Here is a 27,187-nt window from a genome sequence, read left to right as displayed (position 1 = left end):
TAGTTATCACCTACTGTGTGCCAGGGATTGCACTAAGTAATTTGTATACATTGGCTCAAAGAAGGTTTGCAAAGAGATAGAAATCAGAAGGCCAGAGCTGTAGTTCAGCACCATAGACAGTAGCACATACACATTACTCCTCTCCTCCTCTCCCCAGTTTTAGTGAATGAATAAATATACAAAGGGGTTTTGTGTGTATGTGAGGGAGAGAGGGAGAGAGGGGAAGAGAGAGAGAGAGAGAGAAGGGGATAGAATCAGAAATTGACACACTTTCTACAAGCTGGGATCCACCAACCATGTACCATGTATGACTTGACTTACTCTTCTCCGTGAGATTCATGCAGCTATCAAGATGGCATAGAATGATGTAAAACTTTTTTCACACCCTGAAATGCTGGTTTCTCCCTGTAAGCCCTAAAATCCTAGCTCAACTCTCATCTGTCCTGTAATGCCTTCTTCAATCCATTCTTTCTTCTCTGAATTTTTAATGTATTTGGGATTCAGAAGCTCATGGCTTAGCCTTCACTGGTTCAAGAAATAATCCTCCACAGGACTGAAAGTTCCATGGAGGTATGGGGAGTGGACACCAGTTCCTCATTCTCCTGGTACTAACACCCTGGTTTGGTTTTGTTTTTAAAGGAGCCATCCTTTCCCTCAGACCGTGGTGTTCTGATGGGGCTGGCCTCAATTCTTAGCTCCAGGGGTTCTCACATGACTCTGGCCTCACCAGTCAGCATATTCCCCCTTGTAACTACATATAATTGACTCAAAGTTGGTTAAGTTCCCCAATCCAAGCCAATTAGACTCAATGCTCAGACTTTTGTTGCAATCCTAGAAAGGAGATGCTCTTTTTTTTTTTTTTCTGCTAAACTGAAGCTGGATGAGACAAACTTGGACTTGGTGGGTTCTACCAGGCGGAGAAGTCTGCCTGAAAGGGAGGCCAACCCAGAAGAAAGCAGAACGATGAGATGATGAGAACTCAGTTCTAGCCTATTGTTGAGCCTCTGGATCCAGTCATGCCTCCACCATGTGCGGGACCCTTCAATTACATTAGCAAATAAGTGTCCTTTGGTATCACTTGAACTAGTTTGAGTAAGGTTTGCAATCAATATAGTCATGATGAATGCAGATACATACACACACATAGCCAATACTCATTATTTGTGAATTCCACATTTGCAAATTTGCCTACTTGCTAAAATTTGGAATCCCCAAAATCAATACCCGTGACCCTTTCATGGTCATTCACAGACATGCACAGAGTGACCAAAATGTTTGAGTCACCTCACATGCATGCTCCTAGCTGAAGGTAAACAAAGCAGGTCTCTTTCTTCTTGTTTCAGCTGTTATGCTGTAATCAGGTCTCTTTTTTTTGGGGGGGGGGTTCTATTTAGTGCCACACTTTTTTTGCATTTTTGCACTTTTTGTTGGTAATTTTGCTGTTTAAAAATGGCCCTCAAGCATAGTGCTATTGAGTGTTCCTAGGAGCAGGAAGGCTGTGATTTGCCTTACAGAGAAAATAATGCATATGATACAATTTGTTCAGTGCTTTTGAACTGAATAAAGGCCTCATGCTATTGGCCACAAGTTCAGTGTTAATGGAATCAACAGTATATTAAATGAGGTGTCTTTACACAGAAATACACATAAAACAAGATTAGGTATTGATCAGTTGAAGATATTGGGAGCCTGTTAATGGAATCAGTAATGTATTAAATGAGGTATCTTTAAACAGAAACACACATAAAACAAGGCTATTCGATCAGTTGAAGATACTGGAACCAAAATTCGTAGGAACCTAACCCTGTATTTCTCCTAGGAGCAATGTGGTTCAGTATTTACTAGTTCAGTGTTTGTGGCAACTTTGCAGAACATAACTATCATGAGTAATGGGAATTGACTCCCTCTCGCTCTCTCTTTATCTATACACACACACACACACACATATATGTACACACAAAAAATATGTATTATATATAAAACAAATAACATAGTATAATGTATTATATACATAATAAATATTATACAATATACAAATGTATGCAGTACTAGATTAATCAAAAGGCATTTTTACAGTTTCACTTTTCCTCTTACAATGAAGAATATTAAGTGGGACAGATGTTAGTAATTTAGGCTGTTATCTATTTTATTTTTCAGAATATGGTGGATTCAAGGGGCAGATAATGGGATAGTTGATGCAAATAGCCAATTTGGGAGGAAAAGTGCCAGGAACATACAACATACCATACTTAGGGGTTGTTTTTGGGCCAGCTTCTCCCACAAGAAACTAACGGTACATTTCGACCTGGTTCCTCTGCCATCACTTTTGTGGAGGCAGAAGGAGGTAAAGTGGAAGAAAAGAAACCTGCCAAGAGTGAACACATTGGATTGGGGATTTATCAGGGACAGAAAACTTACAGGGATCATCTAGCACACAGCCTTTCTGAAGTCTGATCAGATAACGAACCAGGGCCGAGCAGCAAATGGGTTTATAAGTGTATTGTCAATCTCCGGCATCCGCAGAGCATGCTCAGAAGTGGAAGGTCTGCAGCGAGCTAAGGGTGAGTGAGGGGTAGTTGCAAGTGGTTCATCCCCAGCCAGGCTGCCAGTTTAGTTTCTACAATAAAATCAGTCACTGATAGGGGCTGCATTTGAGGGTTTAGGAGGGTTCCCATCTTTCAAAGCTGAGGACAAGTGAGTACTGAATTCATTCAGCCCTGATTTCCAGCTCTTTCTTGAGGAAAGAAAGGAAAACTCCAAGGTCATTTCCTTCTTAAAGAAGCATTGAGATTTTGCAGATTTATTTCTTAGTTTGGAGTCTGAGGAATCGAGAAAGGAAGCTGAAATGTCCCCAGCAGGCCTGTTTACTTTTTCACATAGTTCTTGTTCATTGAGGGATCTGGGGATACCGAAGCCATAGAAAACTGAATGCCAAGCTCTTATCATATAGAACTGAAGCCAGCAGGAGGAGGCATTGTGGTTAGGGTCAGAATTTACAGGTAAGAGGAGGCGGGGAAAGGTGATGTTCAACTCCGCCCTGAGGCACTTCACTCCATGTTTCTGGAGACACTTTTAGTGCCTCTCCTCAGTAATTACCTTTCCTAGAGAGCCTAGGGACCTGTTTGACATAAAGTGGTTAACTCCAGACATGTCACAGGGGCTAGTCCTGGCTCTGTCCCTTGCTAACCTGGAACTCAGCAAGTTCCTTAACCTCTGTGCCTCCCTTTCCTTGTCTGGAAAATGCTGGTTATAATTGTACTCTCTTCCCAGGGCTAGTGGGAGAAGGGGATGAAATGAGGCATGCAGAGCTCCTGGCATGGTGCTGGCCCATAGCAAATGCTCAAAAACTGGTAACTCCTATTGTGGAATAATAATATGCTAGCGTGAAGTCCTCATTGCCAACGACAGCCCATAAGGTTTGAATTTATACCTATTTCCCCTTGTTTTTTTCTGCCCTTAGTGCTTCATGTCAACCTCTCCTCTCCCAGGGACAGTCATCTCCACACAGAGGAGCCTGCAATGTTCTTTTAAAATGCTTGTATAGTGAGGGTTCTTGTGGCCCCAGATTCCCACGATGAGAAGAGGCAGAACAGGCCACCAGAAGGAAATGGTCAAGAATGGTCAAAAGATACTGGCATACCCCAGGAAACCCTCATGAACTCCCCACTGACATACCAAACAACAGCCCTCAAATATTTCACAAGACAAGAGCATTTGTCTTAAGCCTCATGATTTTGTTGCAAGTCCCATCCTTAGTTTGGGAGGTTTAGGGTCCATTATACAGATGCCAACATTGAGGATCTGTGAGCTAAGATAACTCACCGAAGTCAGGCAGGTGGTGAACAGTCACATCCTAGTTCTGCGCTAGGATCACCTTGGAGGCAGGGTTAAAACGTCAATGCAAGGACCCCATCCAAACCAACTAAAGAAGAAACTCTAGGGCTGAGTCCTGGTATGGCTATATTGCTAAAGTTCCCCAGGTGTTTATAATGCACAGCCAGGGCCGAGAGCCACCTGCTTGCAATCCCGCCCTTCCTTCAAGCCAGTGCACCTCAAATTTGAAAGCACATCAGAATCACCTGGAGGGATACTTAAGGCACAAATTCATACCCGCTCCTCAGACCCAGAGCTTCTGATCCAGGAGGTCTGGAACAGAGCCCAAGAATTTGCATTTCTAGTAAGTTCCAGGCAATACCGGTACTGCTGGTCTGTGGATTGCATTCTGAGAACCGCCACTTTATGCAATGCTAGAAAATCAAACCCAGGAGACCAAATGTTCTGGTTCATGGTTTCCCTTCTAGCAACACTGTCTTGTCCTGAATCACAGCTAGTAATTCAGGCATGCTGCTCAACCTCTACCAGAAACTGGGGAAAGCCAGGGGAGGCTGAGGGCTTGTTGCCTTTCCCTTTTCTTGTTTCTTTCCTTTTAAAAAATAATCCACCACTTAAGAGACTGCCCCTGAGCACTTACTGCTTGCTCTTCCACCAGCGGCCCAAACCCTTGCCTGCAATGCAGGTCTTCTTAAATATTGAATAAGCCTGCCGCTCCACCAGCTGCCGCGGCTGGGGCTGAGGTAATGTTGATATTGACAAAGGCTTAATGTGATTAATCAGGTTAGAAAGATCAGGCTGCAGAGCTGGTTTCATAAAAGACCTTCACGTTCTTCTCCATCACTAAAATCCCCAGAGCCTCCACACCTTCCCTGCCCCATCCTGCATCCCTTCTAAGGCTTGGGGATTTTTCCCCTCTTTGCTGGTGTTGCTGTTTAATGACCCATTAGGTTAGTTAGAGTCATCTGGGGAGAGGGTAAGGTTTTGAATAAGAGCAAAGATCATTAGGTTGACTGTTAGTGTTTATTTATCCAACAGATACTTACTGAGCACCTACTCCATGCCAGACACTAGGGGATAGTGTACTGGAGATATAGTGGTAAATAGAACAGTCAAATTATCCTGTTCTGGTGGCGCTGACATTCTAGTGGGGGGAAATAGATGATGGACAAAGTAAATAATTAAAGTAGATAGCAGGTACACGGTGCCAAGTGCCAGGGAGGAAAATGGAGAAGGAGGAGGCAGAGTTCTGGGGAGGGAGGTAAAATTTTAAATAAGATGACATTTGAAGAAAGATCTGGAAGAGGTGGGTAGTGGACAGAAGGTGCAAAGGACTAACAGGACCTTTTCCAGAACATCAAGCTCAGAGATTTCATCATCATCATCAAAATAAGAGTGACTAATGTTTACTGAGCACCTACAAAGTGCCAAGCTTTGGTCCAAGCAAACATAATATATTGACTTGGTAAATTCCCAAAACAACCCAATAAGGTAGTTGTTATTGTTATCTTCATTTCCCACATGAAGAAACTGAGATGCAGAGAGATTTGGTAACTCGTTCAAGACCACAGAGCAGCAGAGCTGGAACCTGAACACAGATAGATGAGCAATTATTTCTACCCCCTTCCTCTACTCTGAGCCCCTTGCTTCTCAGGAAGGGGCCCCACATCTGTGGTAGATTGCACAACAAAATCTCCCTCTGGGTAGAGAGGGGTCCTACTGTCCTCTTCATTTCCAGGTAGTTGGTGCTGTGAAGAGGAGTGGAGGGTGGAGGGCTCAGCCTGTAAATGCAGCCCTTTCTGGGCCAGTTTGAAGTTTTCATCAAGCCTCTCCAAGTTCTTGCCTTCATGTGAACCCTGCACTGCAGGCAGGATGGGCTTTTCAAAATATGGATCACATCAGGTCACCCTTCTGCTTGTGAGACCCCATTGCTCTCAGAATCAAGACAAATTGCTTGATTTGTCTTGATTGCATGGTCCTGCAGGCACCACCCGCCTCATCTCACCCTCACATCTCACACTCTAACCATGCTGGCCTTCTTTCAGATCCTGCACTGCTACCTCAGGGCCTTTGTACATATTGCTCCCACTGCCAAGAAAACTGTTTTTTTCTCCTCTCTTTACTCAGTTAACTCCTATTCATCCTTCAGATCTCAGGTCGAACATCACTTCCTCTGGGAAGCCCTCCAAGATTAGGTCAAATTTCTTTGTGAATTGTGCCCCTCTCTTTAGAATCTTTGCCTTCATTTATCATTATACAGCCATTTGAATAATTTTCTACCTGCTCACAGGAAGATGCTACATCTAAATTGTTTTCTACTACATCCCAGCACTGAGCACAGTGCATATCACATACTATAAACGACCAACTAGAAGATGAGGATTTCTCCCAATCAAATATTCCTCAGAAAACAAAAAATCAGTTCCTTCTTTTTTGTTTTTTTTTTAATTTTTGAGATGGAGTCTCTCTCTGTCACCCAGGCTGGAGTGCAGTGGCGTGATCTCGACTCATTACAACCTCCACCTCCCAGGTTTAAGCAATGCCTCAGCCTCCTGAGTAGCTGGGATTACAGGCACCTGCCACTATGCCTGGCTAATTTTTGCATTTTTAGTAGAGACAGAGTTTCACCGTGTTGGCCAAACTGGTCTCAAATTCCTGGCCTCAAGTGATCCGCCCACCTCAGCCTCCCAAAGTGCTGGGATTACAGGCGTGAGCCAGTGTACCAAGCTGAAAATCACTTTCTGTCCAGGTTCTTAAAACGTTTTTCACACTGTTAAGCATTCTCTTTTCTCCCAATGTGCTTTCTTTTTAAAAACAAAATAGTTTAAGCAAATTCTTTCTCAATTTTTTCAACCATCATGCAACTCCAAGTGGTATCTCTTCCTTTCCTATTTGTCAACAAAAGGTATTTGCAGTAAGTGACTTTTACTAAAGTTATAAAACCTTCCTTACTTTCCTGGTTTAATTATTTCCTCAATATGTATGGGTGCTGAAAGAACAGTTGTGTGGGTGAATGGTTTATTTTATATAACCATGTGGTTTTAAGTATGTGAGTACAATACAATTAATGAATCAAATACTAATAGACATTTGACAAGTCCATTTACATCCCTAATGGGTTATTTATTCAAGTTGGGCAAAACATTTTTTGGAGGGAGAGACAGATTCATCATTTTATTGGGAAAATATGAACATTGTAGGTTATATTTGGGGCTGTGATTTACATGTTAGTAGATGGTCAATAAATATTTATCAAATGAATAGACGAATAATTATATGTTGATTGAGGGAGGTCCCACCTAGCAATTCAGAGACTAGACATTCACTTCTGAATTATCCCCTTTTTAAAAAAATGAACATGTGCTTTTAACCTCACACAACTGCCCCCTAACGTGCATTTGGCTGTCAACGAGCAAACTCTGTCTTAGGAATATTATTTCTTCAGTTGGGCTCCAGAAGGCAAAACAATCAAGAGTGATGGGACTCAGGCTTAAGTCAAATCAGGAAGGATGACCTAGCTAACTGGCCCTTTCTGACAATGCACAGGGCACCTCTGCGGGTGCAGAGTCCCCTCACTGGAGAAACTCAAGCCCATTTCCCAGGCAGTGAAAAAGAGGATTCATCCTCCTCCCAGAATGACCCATGAATCATTCCCGAATCACTCAGGAAACTCTTTACACTGCAGATTCCTGGTGCGACCCTAACCCTTCTGAATCAGAATTTCTGGGGATAGGCCTTGAGCATCTGCATTAAAAAAAAAATCCCAGAAGATTCGTACACACACTAAATGTTATAACCACTAAGGTTCATGACTGGACAAAATTAGCACCCAGACATTTGAATTTCTCAGATAAGTAAAATTTTCTTCCAAATTTAGGGCTGTCCACTTGCATTGTTGTTGTTTTTATTTACAAAAAAGGGGCACCAATCTTTTGTTTAAAAAAATGCTACCATACATTGCAATGTTTTATTTTTAAAAAATATATTTTAACGTTAAATAAGCAGAAAAGAGATATGGTCAGGATAGAGGTTTGTTTGTTTGTTTGTTTTTTCTAGGAAAACTCGGTCGGCAACATTTTGCCCACCTATAAATGCCTAGTTCTTCTCCTTTCACCAGGGCCAGTGGAAACTTTGTCACAGGCGAGATCTGAGTTTGGAAACCACCAGCGTAAGTAAAGAAACTTCAGGAGCCTTCCTGAATTAGGAAAATCCAAAGACGAAAGAAAGAGTTCGTATTGGCTGCTATGAAATAATGATGACAATGATAGCATCCTAAGAGGTTCATTCCTAAGAGGTAGGAACCCATTTGATCTTTACAAGAACCCTAGGAGATATCTGCTGTTATTAGCGGCATCCCCACTCTGCAGCTGGAAGAAACTGAAGTACGGGGGGCTGTGGTAATCAATCAAGTCTGCACAGCTAGGAAGGGGCGAAGTGGAGACGTGAGCCCAGGGAGCCTGGCTTTCTGTGCTGAAGTCCTAACTGTTGTGCTCTATCACCAGCCAGCCAGCTGTCACGAGGGCCACACCTGCCTGGTGCACACATACATCCCAGGCTTCAACCAACCAATGGATGGGGCTAAAGAACAGAGAGCCCAACAGTTTGCTGATGGCACACACAGGGGTGTGGTTTCAACTTTCCACCCTCTGGGAAGCAAGCACTGTTGGGTGGTCTGGTGGTCTGTGGGTTGGAGCAGGTGCAGTGACCACTTGCATCCACCTGGAAGTGCTCACAGCCCCACCTGATGGGATCCACCGGGAAGGATCCTGAGACCACCAAATTCACCATCTGCTTTTTTCCAGCCTGTCTGTGACTGTGGTTGGCCCGGTGGACCCACTATGCTTTGGAGCTTTATGGTTTGGCCACTGTCATCCCTGATGACTGAACCTGGTTTTCGTTCCTAACTAATCTTGCAATCTTGGGAAATTGGTTTGCCTCTATGGGGCACAGTTCCTTCATCTGTAATGGAGGAAGTAATTCCAACTCTCCTCTTCAAAAAGTTATTGCGAAACAAAACTGAATCTAAAAGTAATTTTTTTAAAAAAATTCAAGTCCTATGCAATAACAAACAACTTGCATGTATCCAGCAGTGTCTGGGTGCCTCATATTGTATTAACTCATGGAATTCTCGCAGCCACTCTATGAGGGAGGTACTATTATTATTCCCATCTTACAGGTGAGTAAACTGAGGCCAGAGAGGCCAAGTAACTTGCCCAGGGTCACAGGCTGGCAAGTATTGCAGCTGGAATTCCAATCCAGGTGGTCTGGGGACAGCAGCCGTGCTTCTAAGGACTGCGCATACTGCCTCCTCCTGGCCAGTGTGTCCAATCCTTTATTGGAATGATGTCCATGCATTGCATCCAAGCTGGAAGGAGCTGAAGACTAAAGAATCAATTTCTGTAGAGCCTTATTATTTATTTTTATGATTAATTATATTAATTATTTATTTTTTAAAAAGCACTTTTAAGTTGCTTTATCTTCACAATTGCAATTAGTAAGTAGACAGTGTAAACTGGGGGAACTGAGGCCTCCTTATCTTCTGTAGCCTGTGTCCTCATCTGCAAAATTGTAATAATAATAATAATAATAATAATATCTCCTTCCCAAGGCTTCATGAGGTTTGAAGGAGGTCAGTCATGTAACCCAAAGGGCAGGGCAGCCTACACAGCGTGCTCTGTGACTCCATGAAGAAGCACATGGACATCCATGGGCCTTAATTCATCCTCTCCCTGATAATTCATCCTCTCCCTCTCTCCATCTGGGAGAAAGGGAGAGGATGAATTATCAGGCACATCTGGAACTTGTACCCAAATGGACAGACTCTTAACTCAGTGTCCTTTCTAGCAATAGGGTGATGTAACACTGGAAGCAGGTGAGGAGCCCCTCAGGGCATCAGAGACCACCCTGCTGTGGAGACCTGGGGCTGCCCTCACACTTGGTGTTAACCAGAAATGACCACCCCATAGTAACCAATTGGGACAAAGGCTCCCATCCAGACCCGCTGCCATGACAACCAGAGGAAGAATTTTTCAGATCTAGAGTCTTCTCAATCCCAGGCTTTGGACAGCTTCTGGGGGCCTCTCTGGCCACTCAAGGACTCCCACTTCCAGCCGCTGGAGCTTTTACCCTCTGAGCATGTTCAGGACAAAATGAGCCTTTCTGCTTTCACCAATCTATTCTCAGAGGCAACGTCGGTGTTACAGGAGGAAACCCAGGCTCTGGGGAGAGGACAGAGGCCCTGGGGAGAGGACAGAGGCCCTGGGGAGTGGACAGAGGCCCTGGGGAGTGGACAGAGGCCCTGGGGAATGGACAGAGGTGATGAGGAGCCAGCATGGCTACTCCAGATGGGAGCAGGGTCTCTCCACACAGAGTGGGAAGTAGCCATTTAAGAGGGGGGCAACGTCTCAGCCTGAGCCAGGGGACCACTCCTGAACACACACATGTGCACTCACACATTCCCACACACACCACTCACACACACATGCTCGCACCATACCCCCTATACTCACAGCACCACATACACACACTCACGCACATACACACACAGCACAGCAGGCAGACCCAGCACAACTTGGATGGGATAAAAACATCTATTTACCTAACCACCCAGGGGACTGTTTAAAAAAACTTTAATCACACAAAGCACACTAGGCATCATCTTATTTCACTCTCAAGCAGGCTTATAAAATGAATACTAGCATTATCCCCATCTTACAGAAGAAACTGAGGCTCAGAGAGACTAAGTCACTTTGGCAAAGGTCACACAGGCAGTAGGTAGCAGAGGCAGGATTCGAACCCATGTCCACCCAGCTCCAGAACCAGCTGCTCTCTTCTGCCTCCCTCTATGCATGCATGGTGTCTGATGTCATGAGGACACTCAGCATTTGTTAGGCAAAGAATCAAAAGTGAAAGAGCAAAGCATCTACCTGTGTTGCCCAAACAATCATTAAATCTCTGTTAAAATGAGTCTTCCTGTCCTGAAAGAATCCCAGCTGGCCAGCGCAGAGAAAAAAATTTTCAGAAATACTCTGGGTTGCTGGAGGGAAACTCACATAAGAAAAATGGAGAAAAAAATAGGGGACTGATGCCTTGGAGAAAAGCAACAATTAGAAGCAAAAGATTAGATGCCACCTTGCAACGTGGATGGATCTTAAAAACATACTGCTGAGTGGAAAAGAAGTGAGAACCTATGAGATCTATAAAAATACTGTTTTGAAGGGACATATACAAGCAATAGAAATACGCATAAACAGAGTAGAATAGGGTTGTCTATGAATGGAGGGGAATGGGGTATGAGGAAAAAAGAGGATAAATAATGAAAAATGGAGGAAGAGGCGGGCAAGGATCAATGATGGCTGTGTACCAGGAAGGGAAAAATAACTCAACTCTCATCATCTCGCACCCTAACAAAGATTCTTCTAATCTACAAAGCCCAAGAGTCCTCCGTGAATAACAGACAGGCTACAAATGAGGCCAGTTCCCCTCTCATTATAATTAAAACCACAGTCCCCCTCCGGGTCACCAACACGAGTGTGCACCATTTATTTCTCCCTCGGGAGCTTTCCTCGAAGCACTTATCCATCGTTCAGATGAGAAGACATGCCTGGACCCCTCTGCGGAAGTTGGCCAAGGCTGGCTACATAGGCCTGCCCAGTCAGATAAACCCTTCCAAGGAAAAGAAAAAGGAAGAAAGAACATCTACAGAAACAGCGGCAGGTTCTATCTGAAAGGCAAGCCTGCTGCATGCTCTGTGTGATGAGTCTCCTTCCCCGCCAAGGGCCCAGCTCCTGCTCCAAATGCTGGCTTCTCCTGCTTTCATCCTTAGGTGCAAGCCCAGTCCGGCTGGTTCTTTTTTGAATGGGCCTAGCTAGCTCCAGGAACAACAGGTTCAGATCAGATCAGAGAGGAAGCTGCAGACACCAGAAGCTCACGTCTTCCATCACATCCAGCAGCCTTTCCCGCAGCCCCTGGAGAAAGGCTTGGCCAGACACCCCAGCTTGCCACTTCACAGGGTGTCATCCCCTTTGCCAAGTTACGATATCCTGCTTCATGCTGATAGATTAATCCAGCCACTATTCATGGGAGAGAAAAGAAAAAAAAACAAAAAACCCACGCTGCTGCCTTTTCTTCCGGGGAGAGGGGAACCGTGCATTTTAGCTAGCGTGGAACGGGCATTTGCAGAGCTCCCTGAACGGCCTTGACTCTGCACACACTGCTGGGTTCTTGTCTCTTAACCCATTGGCCCTTGGTTACAGCCAAGGCCCCTCTCCATGTCCCCAGGATCACAACTGCTGCACCATTGCCAGGAATAGTTCCAGTCCCACTGGAGTGGACCCTGATTGCTCTGGCCTTCTCCCCTTATGTCTGATCCATCAGTAAAGCCCGTCTGCACTCCCGCAGAATTCACCCCAAATGTCACCACCTTCTTCTCTGCTACCACCTGGTCCCTGCCCCATCACAGCTCCCCTCACTGGTCCCCTGGCTTCCATCCCACCTCCTGCACTCCCCTCTCCACTCAGAGACCAAAACAATCATTACTAACATTGTAAATTAGGTCACATCACTCTAGCATAAAACGCTCCCTGCAAAATAAAATCGAACCCAGACTCCTTGGCTACCCTGGGAGGTCCTGTCTAACCAGATCTGGAGGTCCTGATCTGAACCTGTTGTTCCTGTCTCCCTTTGTCCCCATCACGTGACCCTCACCCCACTCACACCAGCCGACTGTCTGTCCCTTGGGGCCACCACAGTTGTCTCTGCTTTTGCACTTACTGCCCCCACTTCCCAGGTGTGGCTCATCCCTCCCTTCACCATCTACTCATGGCTATTTCCTCCTAGAAACTCAGCCTCCACTGGCTGCTGTTTTTATAAGTTAGTCTCGCCCCTCCCTCCCCCAACCCATCACTTGTCATTCTCCATCGAGTCTTCCTATCTCCTTCCTTCATGGCACTTCACGCGGTCTGGAGTTTTCTTGTTTATGTGTTTACTTGTTTATTGGTTTTGCCACCCACTGGGCTGTCGGCTTCAGGGGGCAGGGAACTCCGGCTCCCTCACTGCTGAGTCTGCAGTGCCTAGAACAGTGTACAAGACTTGTCTGGAAAGGAGGGAATGGGGGAATGAGTCTAGAGCAGGGGTTCTCACAGTGTGGTCCCTGGGCCAGCAGCATCAACACTGCCTGGGAACTCGTTTGATGTGCAAATTCTTAGGCTCCATCCTAGTCCCACTGAATCACAAACTCCGTGTTTTAACAACTCCTGCAAGGGGTTCTGATGCAGGCTCAAGTTTGAGAAGCTTGGGCATTGAACCATCTGCAATCTCTACCCTATATCCCCCGGGTGACCAATGAGCGAATAACTAGCTGGGTGATCAGTCTTGTCAGGGACAGGGGTTAGGGAAGGTGAAGGGAGTAAGTCTCCTGCCCATGACTGACCTCTGAGCTCTGAGGGAAAGGCCTTTGTGTGTCTAGATAGTCCATGCCGGAGCCATGCAGAGAATGCCAAGCCTGGGAGGGCTTCAGAACCACTGTGTGCCACCAGAGCAGAAAGGCAGGCAACTCACCCAGAAAGCTGAATCTTTGGCTTTTTGAAAATTCTACAAAATTCCAAGCATTTGGCTTGGAGGTAAGATGACCAACTCATCACAGTTTGCCCAGTACTCTTTCCATTCTTTTTTGTTGTTGTTTTGTTTTGTTTTAGACACAGGGTCTCACCCTGTCACCGAGGCTGTAGTACAGTGGCACAACCACAGCTCACAGTAGCCTCAGCCTCCTGGGCTCAAGTGATCCTCCTGCCTCAGCCTCCCAAGTAGCTGGGACTACAGGTGTGTGCCACCATGCCCAGCTAATTGTTTAACTTTTTTATAGAGACAGGAGTCTCACATGTTGCCCAGGCTGGTCTCAAACTCCTGGCTCCAAGCGATCTTCCTGCCCTGGCTTCCCAAAGTGCAGGGATTTACAAGTGCGAGCCATCATCCCTGGTCTGCCTCTCAGTTTTAACACAAAGTCCTATATCCCAGGACCCCCTTCAGCTCCAAGCAAAGCTGAATGGTTGGTGACCCTACTTGGAGCCCTCATCACCTGGAGTCTCATGAATTCACAAATGCATTCCCTTTACAAGTAATTTCTGTGTGTCTTAAAGATGAGATGAGGAAGGCAGAGGAGTTAGGAGAGGAGGAAGACGGAGAGAGAGAGAGAAAAGGAAAGGAAGAGAGGCCAGGGGCAGAGGAGAGAGAAAGGGAGAGAGGGAAAGATGGGGAGAAAAGAGAGACTGCAAGGAGAAAGCAGGGAATTATTTAAGGGGTGGGAAAAGTAAGGAGACAGGGGCAGGGAAAAAGGAGAGAGAGGGGGAGAGATAAAGACAGAGACTTAGGGGCTTAGCACCACAGTGACAGAGGAAAAACACAGGAAGGCAGAGACGGAAAGGGGAAAGGGGGCAGGGAGGAAGATGTGCAATGGAGCGGACCACACAGATGCCATTTGGCAGCACCTTGCATGAAAAGCCTCCCAACGAACTTCGAGAAACCATCTCTCTTCTCTGCAGCCCCAGAATGCCGCCCCGCCATCAATGGCTGGCACCAAAACCTGCTTACATAATATGTTCTCTGCTGAAAGCTGCTTCCATTCACAAGTCACCACTCGTCATTGTGTAGGTGCATTAAAAAGGAAGAAAAGGAAAAGAAAGAGAGGAAAAAGAAAGAAAAATGCAGCTGAATGAACTCACTCAGATTATATTGAGAGATGAGAAGATATTTCCCCCCCTCGCTCTCTAAATAAATCCTTCATGAACCAAACATCATTATGATGCTGTCAGATGAGTTTCCTCTTGTTGATTAATTGCAGGGGGTGGTAAAAAACCCAGCTTCCTGAGGCATGTTATCTTGCTCACTGGATGGATTACTAAACCAGAGTCTGACAGAGCTCCATTACAAAGAGATTTAAGCGTGTGTTATATCATTAAAACCAATGACAGCAAGACAATTACTTCGAGGAAACCACAGTGACATTGCATACAGCAGCCTGGGCCCTCAGCACTGCTGCCTTCCCTCTTTTCCTGGCCCAAATGGGGAGCAGAGTTGGGCTAAGAAGAATCACTTTTGGCTGGGTGCAGTGGCTCACGGCTGGAATCCCAGCACTTCGGTAGGCCGAGGCAGGAGGATAGCTTGAGCCCAGGAGTTTGAGACCAGCCTGAGCAACATAGAGAGATCTCCATTTCACAAAAAATTAAACAATTAGCCCAGCATGGTCGTGTCTGTACTTCCAGCTACTTGGCAGGCTGAGACAAGAGGATCGCTTGAGCCCAGGAGTTCAAGGCTGCAGTGAGCTATGATCATCACGCCACTGCACTCCAGCCTGGGTGACAGAGCAAGATCCTATCAAAAAAAAAAAAATTTTTTTTTTCATTCACTCTCAAAGCCACCGCCTGCAAATCCCAAAGACCTAGCCTGGCTGGACAGCTGATTATTAAGGCCTTGCCACAAATCTACCTGAGAAACTGAGTCCTGGGGTCCTGCCTAGCAAAAAGTGACTCCTTGGAATTGTCTGAGGTTAGCAGGGAATGGGAGCGACATGCTAAATCCAGGTCACACTCCTGTGGGATTCAGTAGCAGAAAGGAAATCAGATGACTCCGGGCATCAAGAGCTTTTTACCCCCCAACAGAATGTAAATCCAGCAACATCCACCTTTCTCTGTTCTTTGCCCCTCTTTTGCCTACAAGCCTAGTAATGCAGCCCCCTCCCCCTGCTCCAAGAAACCAAGCCTGCTTCACTTTTAGGAAAGGCTCTTATAGCTTCTCATTAAAGTGTGAATGACTAATAAGGCTGGATGCATTAACTCGCTCCAAAGCATCTGCTCTTTAACCAAGAGCAGAGCCTTAAGAAAAAGAATGAAACTTGAATGATGGAAATTTCAGGTATCAGTGAACTGAATATCTTTGGGTGACTCGGGGAGCCCTCTTTGTACCACAGCCCCCCACCAAAGATCACATTATGTAGGTAGCCACTTACTTTATCTAAGTCCCAAAAAGGATCGTGTCTTTTTTTTTGAGACAGAGTCTTACCCTAGGCTGGAGTGCAGTGGTGTGATCTCGACTCACTGTAACCTCTATCTCCCGGGTTCAAGTAATTCTCCTGCCTTAGCCACCCAAATAGCTGGGGTTGCAGGCACACACCACCACACCAAGCTAATTTTTGTATTTTTAGTAGAGACTGGGATTTACCATGTTGACCAGGCTGGTCTTGAACTCCTGACCTCAAGTAATCCACCCACCTTGGCCTCCCAAAGGGCTGGGATTACAGGCATGAACCACCCCACCGGGCCAGGACTGTGTCTTTATTGCCATTTTATTCCCAATGCCCATCATGGTGCCAGGCATACTGTAGGTAGTCAATAAATGTGCAATGCATGATAAATAGCAATGGCAGGAAGAGAGAGAGGCCTGTCCTTTGCCTGTAGCAAATCTGAGGCAGGAGCCAAGTCCTTTCAAACCTTTCACCAACGACTGACTCATCATAATCAATACTAACTGAGCACCTACTGTATGCAGGCCTCTGGCTGGACCACAGGCCCCAAACTGACATGTTCGCTAGTAAATCAGTTGAGCTTCATTCATTCATTCACTCAGTAAGTCATTGCTGAGCACCTGCTGGGTGCTGACCCGGACACCAGAAATGAAGATATCACAGCCTTGGCCCTTAAGGATCTCACCCTGTAGCACCTGAGGACTCCTACAAAGAAGTGCCATAGGCATTTCCCAGGGAAGGGAAGGAAGGCTCAGGTTTCCTAGAGAAAATACACGGCTCAGAGCTTATAGCCTGGGATGATTCAGCAAAAACCTCCCAGGGACTTGAAGGAACAAAAGACTGAGTGGTCACCAGTGCTTCTCCTCCTAGAATTCTTCTCTGGGGCCTACCCCCCAGGCTCATGACTCCCCTGCTAGTTGCTTAGAGCCTCACAAGCCAAACAGAGAGGGAGTCATTTTGCCCATTTCACAGATGAAGAAACTGAGTTATGGGGACCTGCAGCAACTGGGGAACTGCAGTGGGGAACAAGAGGGGCTGGCAGCTCCTGTCTCCAAGCTTTGTCCTCCCTCTTGTGAGTCATACAGCTACACAACTAGCCCAAAGAACTCACCTTCCTCTACCTCACCCTACTTTTGTTTTGGTCAGGGGTGATTTCACTGTTACCATCACCAACATCGCCCCGATTGCGAACATTTGTTGGATATTTACTCCTTGCCAGACTCAGTATAAAGTGATCATTAACTCTTAAAATTCTCACAACTGCATTCTTATTCCCATTTTGTAGATGGGAAAATTGAGGTCCAGAGAGGTGAAGTGACACAATCAGAAAGTGCTAGGATCAAGATCTAACCCTAAGAAATTTATTTCCAGAGCCCATCCTCTTAATCCCTATATCATGCTACCCTAATACACCTAATTGAAGAAACTGAGGCTCAGAGAGATTAAGGGCCTTGTCTGAAGTCACACAGCAAGGAAATGCCAGAGTCAAAATTAGAACTAAGATCTGACCGCCCCCAGAGCCCACACTGCAGCCCCTGGCTGGTTAAGAAGGTAGATAGGTGTGAGGCACAGAAAGAAGGGGGCTATTTCTGCAGTACCTCCTTCACTCTTTCAGCACATCAAGGCTCTCCATCCTGGGTGGCAGCTGAATTATTTAAAATCATCAGCTTCAGCCCACCATGACTGGGTCCCAGAATTATTTTTATCCCAGATTATGGCCACAGCTCTTAACAGAAATAAACCACACTGTTTTCTTCTCATTGGCTTCACATCAATTCCTGGCTTATCTGCAATTACAATCAGCTCCCCACTGAATGAGGGTGAAGGGCAGAAGACAGGTCCATGTGTCATGGTGGTTTTTATTGGAAAGCCATAAACTCTGTAGGACCCATTCACAGAGAGGGAAAGAGTTAAAGCATAATGTCACAGCCTACAAAGAAAGCCCAAGAGCAGCCACCCCAACCAAATGCACATCTTCAGACAAAGCAGCCAGTCTGTGTACGGAGCAATAAGAAGGAGAAAGGCAGAGTAGGCTGGGGGCACTGACTTTCCAGGCTACCCCTGTGGAATCACAGAATCTCTGTCTGCTGCCTCTCTCCTGCCAACAAGAAAGGAAATGTCCACATTTGTCTCCATGGCTAAGCTTCCTGATTACCAGCACGGGCTGGAGAGACACTGCTGAACATCCTTCCTCTGTACCTCAGGCTGGACTGGGGGAGTAGGGGCTGCTGGAGCCAGGAGTGAGGGGATGATGCCTTGGTCTTCATAATGGTGGGTTTATATGTTGCTGCCATAACTTACTGTGTGGTCTTGGGCAAATTGTTTTTCCTCTCTGGGCCCCCCTGGAAAGGGTTAGACTAAATCAGAGGTCCTGAACTTGGGGGGGTGCTCACATGGGCATTATTGAGGATCCACTAACCCCCTGATGTTGTGTGTTTGTGTGTATATGCATCTTTTCAGAGCAGAGCCTCTCCAAGGAGTCCTTGCTGCTACTCCTGAGAAGAGTCTCTTTGGAGCCTTCAAGTGCTGCAAAATCTACATCTCTGTGCATCTGAGGCCATAAATAAAGCAGACCCCTTTCCAGCTGAGCTCAGGATTCTAGAAACCTAGCAAAGTTCTCACAAGAGACTCCCCTATCCCCAATCACCCCAAACAGGGCCTCTCCCCGACACAGGATAAATTCTCAAGCACAGTGCTAACCCTTCCTAGAAATGTGGGCATGTGCAGTCACTCACACTCACACACATACCTATCTCATAGTCAGAGAACCCCAGAACTTGAAGGGGACTTAGGGCCACCCAGACAGACTGCCCCATTGCATAGATGGGGAAGCTGAGGCCCAGAAAGGGGAGACAGCTGGGACTGGAACCCAGGTCTCCTGACCCAAGTCCAAGGCTCTTTCCAGAAGCTTCTCTTTCCCTTTCCCTGGTGCACCACAATGCACCACTTCAAATGTGATGGGGGAGGAGGGAGGGCGGCCTCTTGGATCTTGGCCATCCCTAAGGAAGTGACCCAGTGGAGAGATATTTGGGAAGTGTCCACATCTGGACACCCAAGTATTAGCTATCCCAGCTGGGCTGGCCTGTACTGCATGGCTAAACCAGTTGTTAAAAATATTAAAATAAAATATAAATATTAAAATTAAATGGGGATGCTGCCCTGAGGCCTCGTGGCTCTCTTGATAGCCCCCTAAGATCCCCCCAAACCTCTCCATAATCCAGCAATTAAAAGATTAACACTCAGTACAGCAGGGGCCCCCTAAGATGCCCTATTCCAGGACCCTAGCCATTCTGATCGATTAGTACCAAATTTCAATACTTTAAATATCACCCATAGCCAGATATGTGGTTCTTTTTTTGAACAAAATTTCCACACATTCATTATTCACACTCAAGTCTTCCCAGTGAGGAATCTAAGGCAACTTCCTCCTCAAGGTCACCCAGCAAGAGAAGCTAGGAAGAGAAGTTAGGGATTTTGAGAACCAAATCTTTGACACTAACCACCAGACAACCCTCCTCTTCTGCCTCATATGTCCTGCCTGAGCAGGCACATGCTGTGGGATTTCAGCATCTCTTCTTAGCTATGGGGCTAGAGAAAAAAAGAATGAGTGAACCCTGCTTATATTTCAGGCTTGCCAATCTCTGACTGTTGTTTTATTCCTCCCACCTCCAAGAGCAAGAATCTAAAAAGGAAATCCTTGGGGGTGCAGAACACTGAGGTGGCCCCTGAGATAATAGCAAAAATGCTAAAAACAAGGGCATTCATTTCCAGAAAAGTAGATGTAATCAAAGCAGAAAGCAAAGTGAAATCCCCTTTTGATGGGTAGCAGATTAGCATCAAAAGCATTTCAAAATTAAATGTGAGCTTTTGGATTCAATTTCAAGGTACTTCCACTTCCCACTCACTAACAGGTTGGTGCAGCCTTTCCCCATCAGGATCTTGGAAAAAGAAACTAGTGCAGGGGGACGGTCTACCCTGGAACAAAACTGAAGCTGAAGCCTGGAATCTTTCCCCAGAATTTGAACAAGCTTTGTTCCCCTCCTTCCTTCTGAGATGAACTCAAGGATAGAATCTCCCAAGCTAGTGCCAGGACGCTCCCCCATACAATCACTTACAGGTTACGCCACCTGTGAAAATAAAACATCATCTCCTCTGCAGGCAGTGGCTGCTCCCTTCTGGCCAGCCTGACCACTCATCCCAGGCATAGTGTGGCCCTTTCCTGGCTCCCAGGTCTTCCATCTCAGGAAAGCGTGAACAGCCAACCTCGCAAAAATCACCACAATTAAATTACTCAGCTGTTCCTAGAAGAGGGTACAATCTAAGCTCTGTCCTGTGCAAATCTTACCCAGTGTGCCCAGGCAAAAGTTACCCTTCCAGTCTCAGGTGACCCCCTCCCCTCCAGGGATAAGCACTCACTTGCTAAGTCAGAGTACCCAGAGTCCCTCCATGCTAGACTAGCCAGCCCCACGAAGGGTTAACTCTCTCAGAGAACTGCCGGCTACTTTCACCAGCTTCTGCTGCAAAGGAGAGGGCAAATTGGGCAGAAGCCACAATCTTGATCGCATTGCCTACAACATGAGCACATTTTACCCCCTCCCTGGGCACTAAGCCAAAATCTCATTTGGCTTTGGGATGCCGCTTAGGTGATAAAACACTGCAGGATGTAGGCAAATAAGCATAGTCGTTCCTCGATACCCTTCTCCTCCCAACTACCCTTTACCCCACCAGCTCATGAACACACATCACAATTGGGATTCCAACACCCCTAGCCCATCTGCACAACCCGGGAGAATATCACTTACCGCGACGCTGGAGGCTTGCAGGGGGAATGGGTGAGCCAAATTCTTGCCAACTCCTCCCTTCCCTGCCGGGTAGAAAGACGCTAAGTCCCAATGACTTGGTTTAAAAGCTCAGCGGAGGTGCCTGAAAGAAAATTGTTCATTTGACTCTCCTACTCTTCCCAAAATAAAATCAAAGCACCAGTGCACACACGTAGACACACAGACACATCAACTACCCCTAAATCATGCAGGACCAAGACAAAAAGAAATACCACTGCCAGAAGCGGAGAAAACTCGGACCAGCCAGTGAGTCAGTGGACAAGGGACAGTGGCTCCCTCAGACTGTCCTCCACATGGATGAAGGTTTTAGCTCTGTGAGTCTCTCTCTCTCTCTCTCTCTCTCTCTCTCTCTCTCTCCCTTCTCCCTTCCTTTCCAGTCCGCGTAGGCAACTCCGGGCTGCTGGCAGTAGACGAATCAATTGCTTCCCCAGAGCCAGTTTCTGCCGCGGCTGCCACCACTACTGCAAAGCCCTGTGTGAGCAAGGGAAGCGGGGCGGCAGCTTCCCAGTGCAGGGGGAACCAAGCGGGAACCAAGCCTGCCTCCCACCCGTGATTTATGTGTGCGGTGCCTGGAGAAAGAAAGGTGGGAGGCCGGGAGGGGAGGTTGGGCGCACCAGAGATCCCAGCTGGTCGAAACGGCAACCAGGGGATTGGCGGTCAGCACCACGGACAGCGCTAAGATGCCTTGGAGGAGGGGATGGGTGGGAAGCGAACCCCTAGGCAGAGAAGTTAAGTAATTGGATGGTTAAAGCAGAGAAGGGGGGAGTCCGGAGGGGTGGGGGACGGGACTTCTCGACATCACACAGTCTAGTCAGTGACAGCTTACCTACCACACACTTTTTCTAATACTGTCGCTCACTCTCAGAGCAAAGGAACTATAACTTCACAGCCCCTGTCTCCCACACGCCCCCAGTCCTGCATTGCTCCTCTCTGCTCAGACAAGAGCTTGGCACCGGTGTGGGGGGCTCCCTAAGTGGTTTTGCCCCTCAAAGTTTCGCCCAGATGACCTGTCCTCACCCCCATTGCTGCAGATTTTTGACCTGTACCTGGAGTTTCTCAGAATTCAGAGCAGAAAAGCTGAGGCTTAAGAAATGGAAATTTCTAAGGGGCAGGGTGGCTTAGTTGAATAAGCACTTGATGGTTTTCTGGAAGTCAGATCCAGCCCCCTTACAACTCTGGAAAAGTCATTTAATGTTTCCAAGTCCCATCTGTGAAAATGATAACATAATGACCTTATTTTTCCTAAAGATAGGAAGCAAGAGGTTAAAATGCAACAATAAGAATACCCAAGCTGTGAACTGCCATGATTTCATGGTCCATAACCTGTCCTAAAACACAAATGTTTGGACAGAGTGATAAAGGAATTGACAGCCCAGCTAGGATGGCATGTGCCAACCTCACCCTTCAGCAGGTGGTTTGAGTAGAATGAAGGGAAATTTTAGGTCTAAATCAGACCATTGAGCCTTGGCCAAAGAGCCTTCCCCGAAAGATCCAGACTGGCTTTCTGAAGTGAATTCACTATATGGACAATGAAATAAAAGTATCAAAAGGGGAAATATATAAAGATGAATGGATTCCCATGGCTCCCAGTGCTCCATATCTCAAGAGTCCTATTCCTCCTAACTTTGGGAAAGGGCTCAAATTGGAAAAAGGCCAGGAAATCTCAAACAGACCAAGATCTGCTTAGAACTTCTCTGCAAAGTGAAGGAGAACTCTCTCTATTGGAGACTCATATCTAAAGCTTCCCATCCAGATGGCCCAGGGTTAACTACTACATTTGTCACTTACTTCTCCCCATGAGACCCAGGAGTTAAAATGAGAACATTTAGAGCTCATTTAAAAAACAATTTTTTAAAGACAGTGTCTCTGCCAGGCGCGGTGGCTCATGCCTGTAATCCCAGCACTTTGGGAGGCCGAGGCAGGTGGATTACCTAAGGTCAGGAGTTCGAGATCAGCCTGGCCAACATGGTGAAACCCCATCTCTACTAAAAATACAAAAAAATAGCTGGGCATGGTGGTGTGCACCTGTAATCCCAGCTACTCGGGAGGTGGAGGCAGGAGAATCACATGAACCTGGAAGGCAGAGGCTGCAGTGAGCCGAGGTTGCACCATTACACTCCAACCTGGGCAACGAGAGTGAAACTCCATCTCAAAAAAAAAAAGAAAAAGACAGTGTCTCACTCTGTCACCCAAGCTGGAGCGCAGTGGTGCAATCATAGCTCACTGAAACCTTGAACTCCTGGGCTTAAGTGATCCTCCCACCCCAGCCTGTCCAGTAGCTAGGACTCAAGGTGCACACGAATATACCCTGCTAATTTTTTTTTTTTTTTTTTTTTTGCAGAGATGGGTCTCACTATATTGCCCCAGCTGGTCTTGAACTCCTCGCCTCAAATGAACCACCTGCCTCAGTGGTGGTGGTGGTGGTGGTGGTAGTAATTGTCATCATGATGGTAATCATAGTGATGATTATAGTGATGGTGTTGATTGACAATGATTATGCTGATGATGTTGATGGTGATGATTATGGTGGTGGTGGTGGTGGTGGCAATGATGGCTGCTATTGAAAACCTACTATGTGCCAGCTCTTCTGCTAGGAACTTTACATGTATCATCTTCTGAAGTCCTCACCATGACCCTTTCAGGACACTAGTATTATTCCCATCTTGCAAATGAGAAAACTTAGACTCAAGAAATAAAATTCCTTGCTCAAGGCTTCACAGTAAGTTACAGACACAGCATTCAAACTCAGTGTCGTATGATTCCAAAGAACATGCTCCAGGATGTCTCTCAGAGTTCATTTCAAATGCATTCTACAAGTTTGAGGGGAAAATTTTCATCGAATATTTTCTGGGATGATCCTGTGACATAAATTCAGTGTCCTCAATTTACAGATGGAGAAACTCGGGACCAGAGACGAGAATTGACTTGTCCATAATCAAAGAGCTAGGAAGTAGCAGAGTTGAGTATAGAATGCAAGCCTTTCAGATGCCAGGACCTGTGGTCTATTGCCTAGGGCAGTCCCAGGCACATAGGAAACCCTCAATAAACAATATCGTTTGTTTTATTTGAGACAGAGTCTTGCTCTGTCACACAGGCTGGAGTGCAGTGGTGAGATCTCGCCTAACCGCAACCTCCACCTCCTGGATTCAAGACGTTCTCATGCCTCAACCATGCAAATAGCTGGGACTACAGGTATGCGCCCCACGCCTGGCTAATTTTTGTATTTTTAGTAGAGACGGGGTTTCGCCATGTTGGTCAGGCTGGTCTCGAACTCCTGACCTCAAGCGACCTGCCCACGTCGACCTCCCAAAGTGCTGGGATTACAGGTGTGAGCCACCACACCTGGCTGCCTCAATAAACATTTGAAGAGTGATTCAAGAAGCCCAGGGAGAAATGAAAGTCATTTAGGATGCTGGTGGTGGAATCAGAACCCAAGTAGTTCCCAGGCCTCTTGGCTTCCAATCCCAAAGAATTTCTCACAGCTTCCCCAGCCATTAGGCATGTATTCTGGGAGGGCCTCTCATGAATTCAGCTCTCCCTTAGGGAATGACAATAGCTACCACCTGCTGCATACCTAGACACTTGCCATGTGTCACGCATTGTACTAAGCACTTTACAGTGATTATCCCCACACTTCACAGCTACCTGAAGTGGGTGCTATTACTGCCCCATTTGCAGACAAGAAGCAGACAGATGATGTGAAGCCCCCAAACTCACACAACCAGGGAGCAGCAGAGGCAGGGATGCAAATCTCAGGTCTGTCTGACTCCAAAGCCTGTGTTTTCATGACCCTGTCAGTTTTTCCTAAACCAGGCCCCCTAGAGGCCCCTGTGGAAATGAAAAGAGGCCTCAACTGACCCTCCACTCTGGTTTCAACTAGAACAGTTAGTGGTGCTTTTAACTGTTTTGCATACTGGGCATCTGCCCAAGCCTTCATTGAAACAAGGATTTTGCACCAAAATTAAAAAATAATAATATGGTTGAAACCTGAGCTCTCCACCCTCTCTGGTCACCATGCCATCTAGGAACTAGCCTTGTCTTGTCAGGGGACCTTGCCCCATCCTGCCCACCTCCCTGGTCACCACTGCCAAACCCCTCTTCTGTCCCGGGTGCTTCTGGAGAACCCTTTGTTCAAAGAACCAGCTGCTGCTGTAAACTCCACCAGCCTGTGGCACTGCAGCAGGGAGACACCTCAAAACCCAGACTTCTCAAGGCTGAGCCCGGCCAGGGTCTGACTCTCTCGAGGCTTCATTCAATGATAGAACATTGCGAAGATTCCTCAGGCCGCAATTCAGCAAGCTGCCTTGCTCTACCCTTGTTTTATGGAGCAGAGGCAGCCCAGTAAGACTTTCCATCACCCCAAAGAGGATGGGAAATGATGAAGGTAGTAATAGCTACAGCAACAAATGCTACCCACTACCTCCTGCACAATTTGTATATGTGCAGCGGCATCATCTCATCCTCCCAACAATCCCATTTCAGGATGATAATGGTTTCATTTCTGTTCTATGAAACTGAGACTCCTAAAGCAACTAGCCTGAGGCCATTGAGTTCATAAGTGGTGAGACTGGAATTTGAACCAAGACCCTGTGAATTTATGATCATTATGCTATCTGGCATTCCTAATTCCTAATCATCTCTCCTTTTGCAGGGGGCAGGTGCTTACTATTTACCAGGTGCCATGCTTTATCTCCCCAGCACTATTCATGACTGACAACAGTGAAAGGAGGTTGTGTTGTGCTATTTACCCATTTTCAAGATGAGGAAATCAGACATGGAGAGCTCAAGTGACTTGCCCAAGATAACACAGCCAGGAAGAGGGGGAGAATGGGGTGTGAATCTGAACAGTTTATCTCAAGGTCCTCTGTGCTTTTCTGTCTCCCAAGGAAATGGGCACTGAGATAGCCCATTTCACTTAGCAAGTGTGGTAGGCAAAATAATGGCCCCAAAAGATGTCCACATTTTCATCCCCAAAAGGGGTTAATAGATTACCTTAAGTGGCAAGTGGGACTTTGCAAGTGTGATGAAGTTGAGGATCTTGAGGTGGGGAGATTATCCTGGGCTATTTGGGTGAATCCAATGTAATCACAAGGGTCCTTATAGGAGGGAGGCTGGAGGGCCAGAGTCAGAGAGGAAAGGTGTGGATGGAAGTATAGGGGGAGAGAGAGAAAGAGAGGTAGGGAGAGGTATGAAGATGCTTTGTTACTGGTCTTGAAGATGGTGGAAGAAGCTACCAGGTAAGGAATGTGGGCAGGCTCTAGAAAATGGAAAAGGTGAGGAAAAGAGTCTCCCTGAGAGCCTCCAGAAGGAACACAACCCCACTGCTGACACCTTGGTTAAAGGAATTCTGACCTCCAGGACTGTAAGATAATTAATCTATGTTGTCTTCAGCCACAGAGTTTGTGGTTATTTGTTACAGCAGCATAGGAAACCAATATAGCAAGTCTGCCAGGGGACCCTACATTAAGAAGCCCATAGCAAATCGGCTTTAGGAATCATGACTGAGCTCCCTCTTAGACAAAGAACCCAGTGCTTCAATCATACTACAACCTGTTCTGAACAATACCATGTGTGTGCCCTACAAGAGAAAGGAAACATGCTCAAAGCTTTAGCCTGAACACTGGGCTTTGTCGCTGGATGACACTGCTAGGGCGTCCATGCCTTCCTCACTCCCTCCTCCTTCTCCTTTAAGAGCCTCCAGGGAAATGCTACTGTCAGGGACACAAAAGGGAAGAAATGTCACAGGGCAGCTTTCCAGGAGCACAACTCATCACAGGGAATCGGTCAAAGATAGAACAAGTAAACGAAACAGAGAGATTGGCGTGCAAGAGAAAGAGAAAGAACACGAGACAGAGAGAGAAAGGATTGCTGGGTCCCTGAGATCGGCCTATGTGCACTGACAAATCCCTTCCCACAAGGAAAAGGGCAGTCGTGGGGAAGCCCACTAACCTCCTTAGGAAAAGACACAGTAGGACTTGGCGAAGCAAGCTTTCAAGACAAGTCAACAAGTTTTATTTATTAATCAGTCAATTCCACGTTACCAGGCAAGGCTCTGCCAGGGGAAGGGAACTTGGACTTGCCTTCTCTGATACTTGGAGTTTGATTTCAGCTCCCTACTTCCCAGTTTGGGACCTTGGCATGTCACTGGCATGCTCCGAACCTCAGTCTCCTCAGCTATAAAATGGGACCACCATACCTTCCCCGCTCATCTCCTGAAGCAGCCAGGATGTTTCACTGAGCTAATGAATAGCAATGAGTTTCGTATACTCTAAATGATGAATAACAGCTACCATTTACTAAGTTTCTACTGTGTGCTTATCCAGACTCCTATCCTCAAGGAATGCAGTGAAAACGTCCAGCCCAAAGTGACCATAAGTAAGAGGAAAAGGACAGCAACAGCAGAGACGGCATAATGAAATTGTTAAGAGGCCAGGTTCTAGAGCTAGGCTGCCAGTGTTCAAATCTGACTCTACCACATGCAAACTGTGTGACCTTGAGG

At 46.4% G+C, this 27,187-nt stretch overlaps 1 protein-coding gene across 9 annotated transcripts in view, besides 1 other annotated feature; it reads right to left on the bottom strand.

Annotated features, from left to right (window-relative positions):
- RPH3A (rabphilin 3A) overlaps window positions 1–27,187 on the bottom strand; it is a 323,646-nt gene that overhangs the window by 85,969 nt on the left and 210,490 nt on the right. For 5 of the 9 annotated variants that reach the window (NR_145127.2, NR_145126.2, NM_001143854.2 and 2 more), the window contains exons 1-2: window positions 20,901–21,165; window positions 20,650–20,770 (exon numbers count right to left, since the gene is read on the bottom strand). The gene's annotated coding sequence lies outside the window, so the exon portion shown is untranslated. Of the gene's footprint in view, window positions 1–20,649; window positions 20,771–20,900; window positions 21,166–21,302; window positions 21,376–27,187 lie in introns of those variants that run through there. The other 4 variants (NM_001347953.1, XM_047428540.1, NM_001347954.2 and 1 more) reach the window with 3 other exon arrangements.
- Window positions 20,532–21,073: an enhancer, noted in NCBI's record as "H3K4me1 hESC enhancer chr12:113229645-113230186 (GRCh37/hg19 assembly coordinates)". NCBI's record gives its function as "activates a minimal SCP1, AML or CMV promoter by ChIP-STARR-seq in primed H9 embryonic stem cells {active_cell/tissue: H9 hESC(primed)}" and the evidence as "EXISTENCE:reporter gene assay evidence [ECO:0000049][PMID:30033119]".

Source organism: Homo sapiens, chromosome 12 (assembly GCF_000001405.40).
Source record: "Homo sapiens chromosome 12, GRCh38.p14 Primary Assembly".
In the NCBI taxonomy this organism is placed as follows: domain Eukaryota; kingdom Metazoa; phylum Chordata; class Mammalia; order Primates; family Hominidae; genus Homo; species Homo sapiens.
The sequence above is the reverse complement of the archived record's forward strand: the minus strand, read 5'-3'. Positions and strand labels throughout refer to the sequence as shown.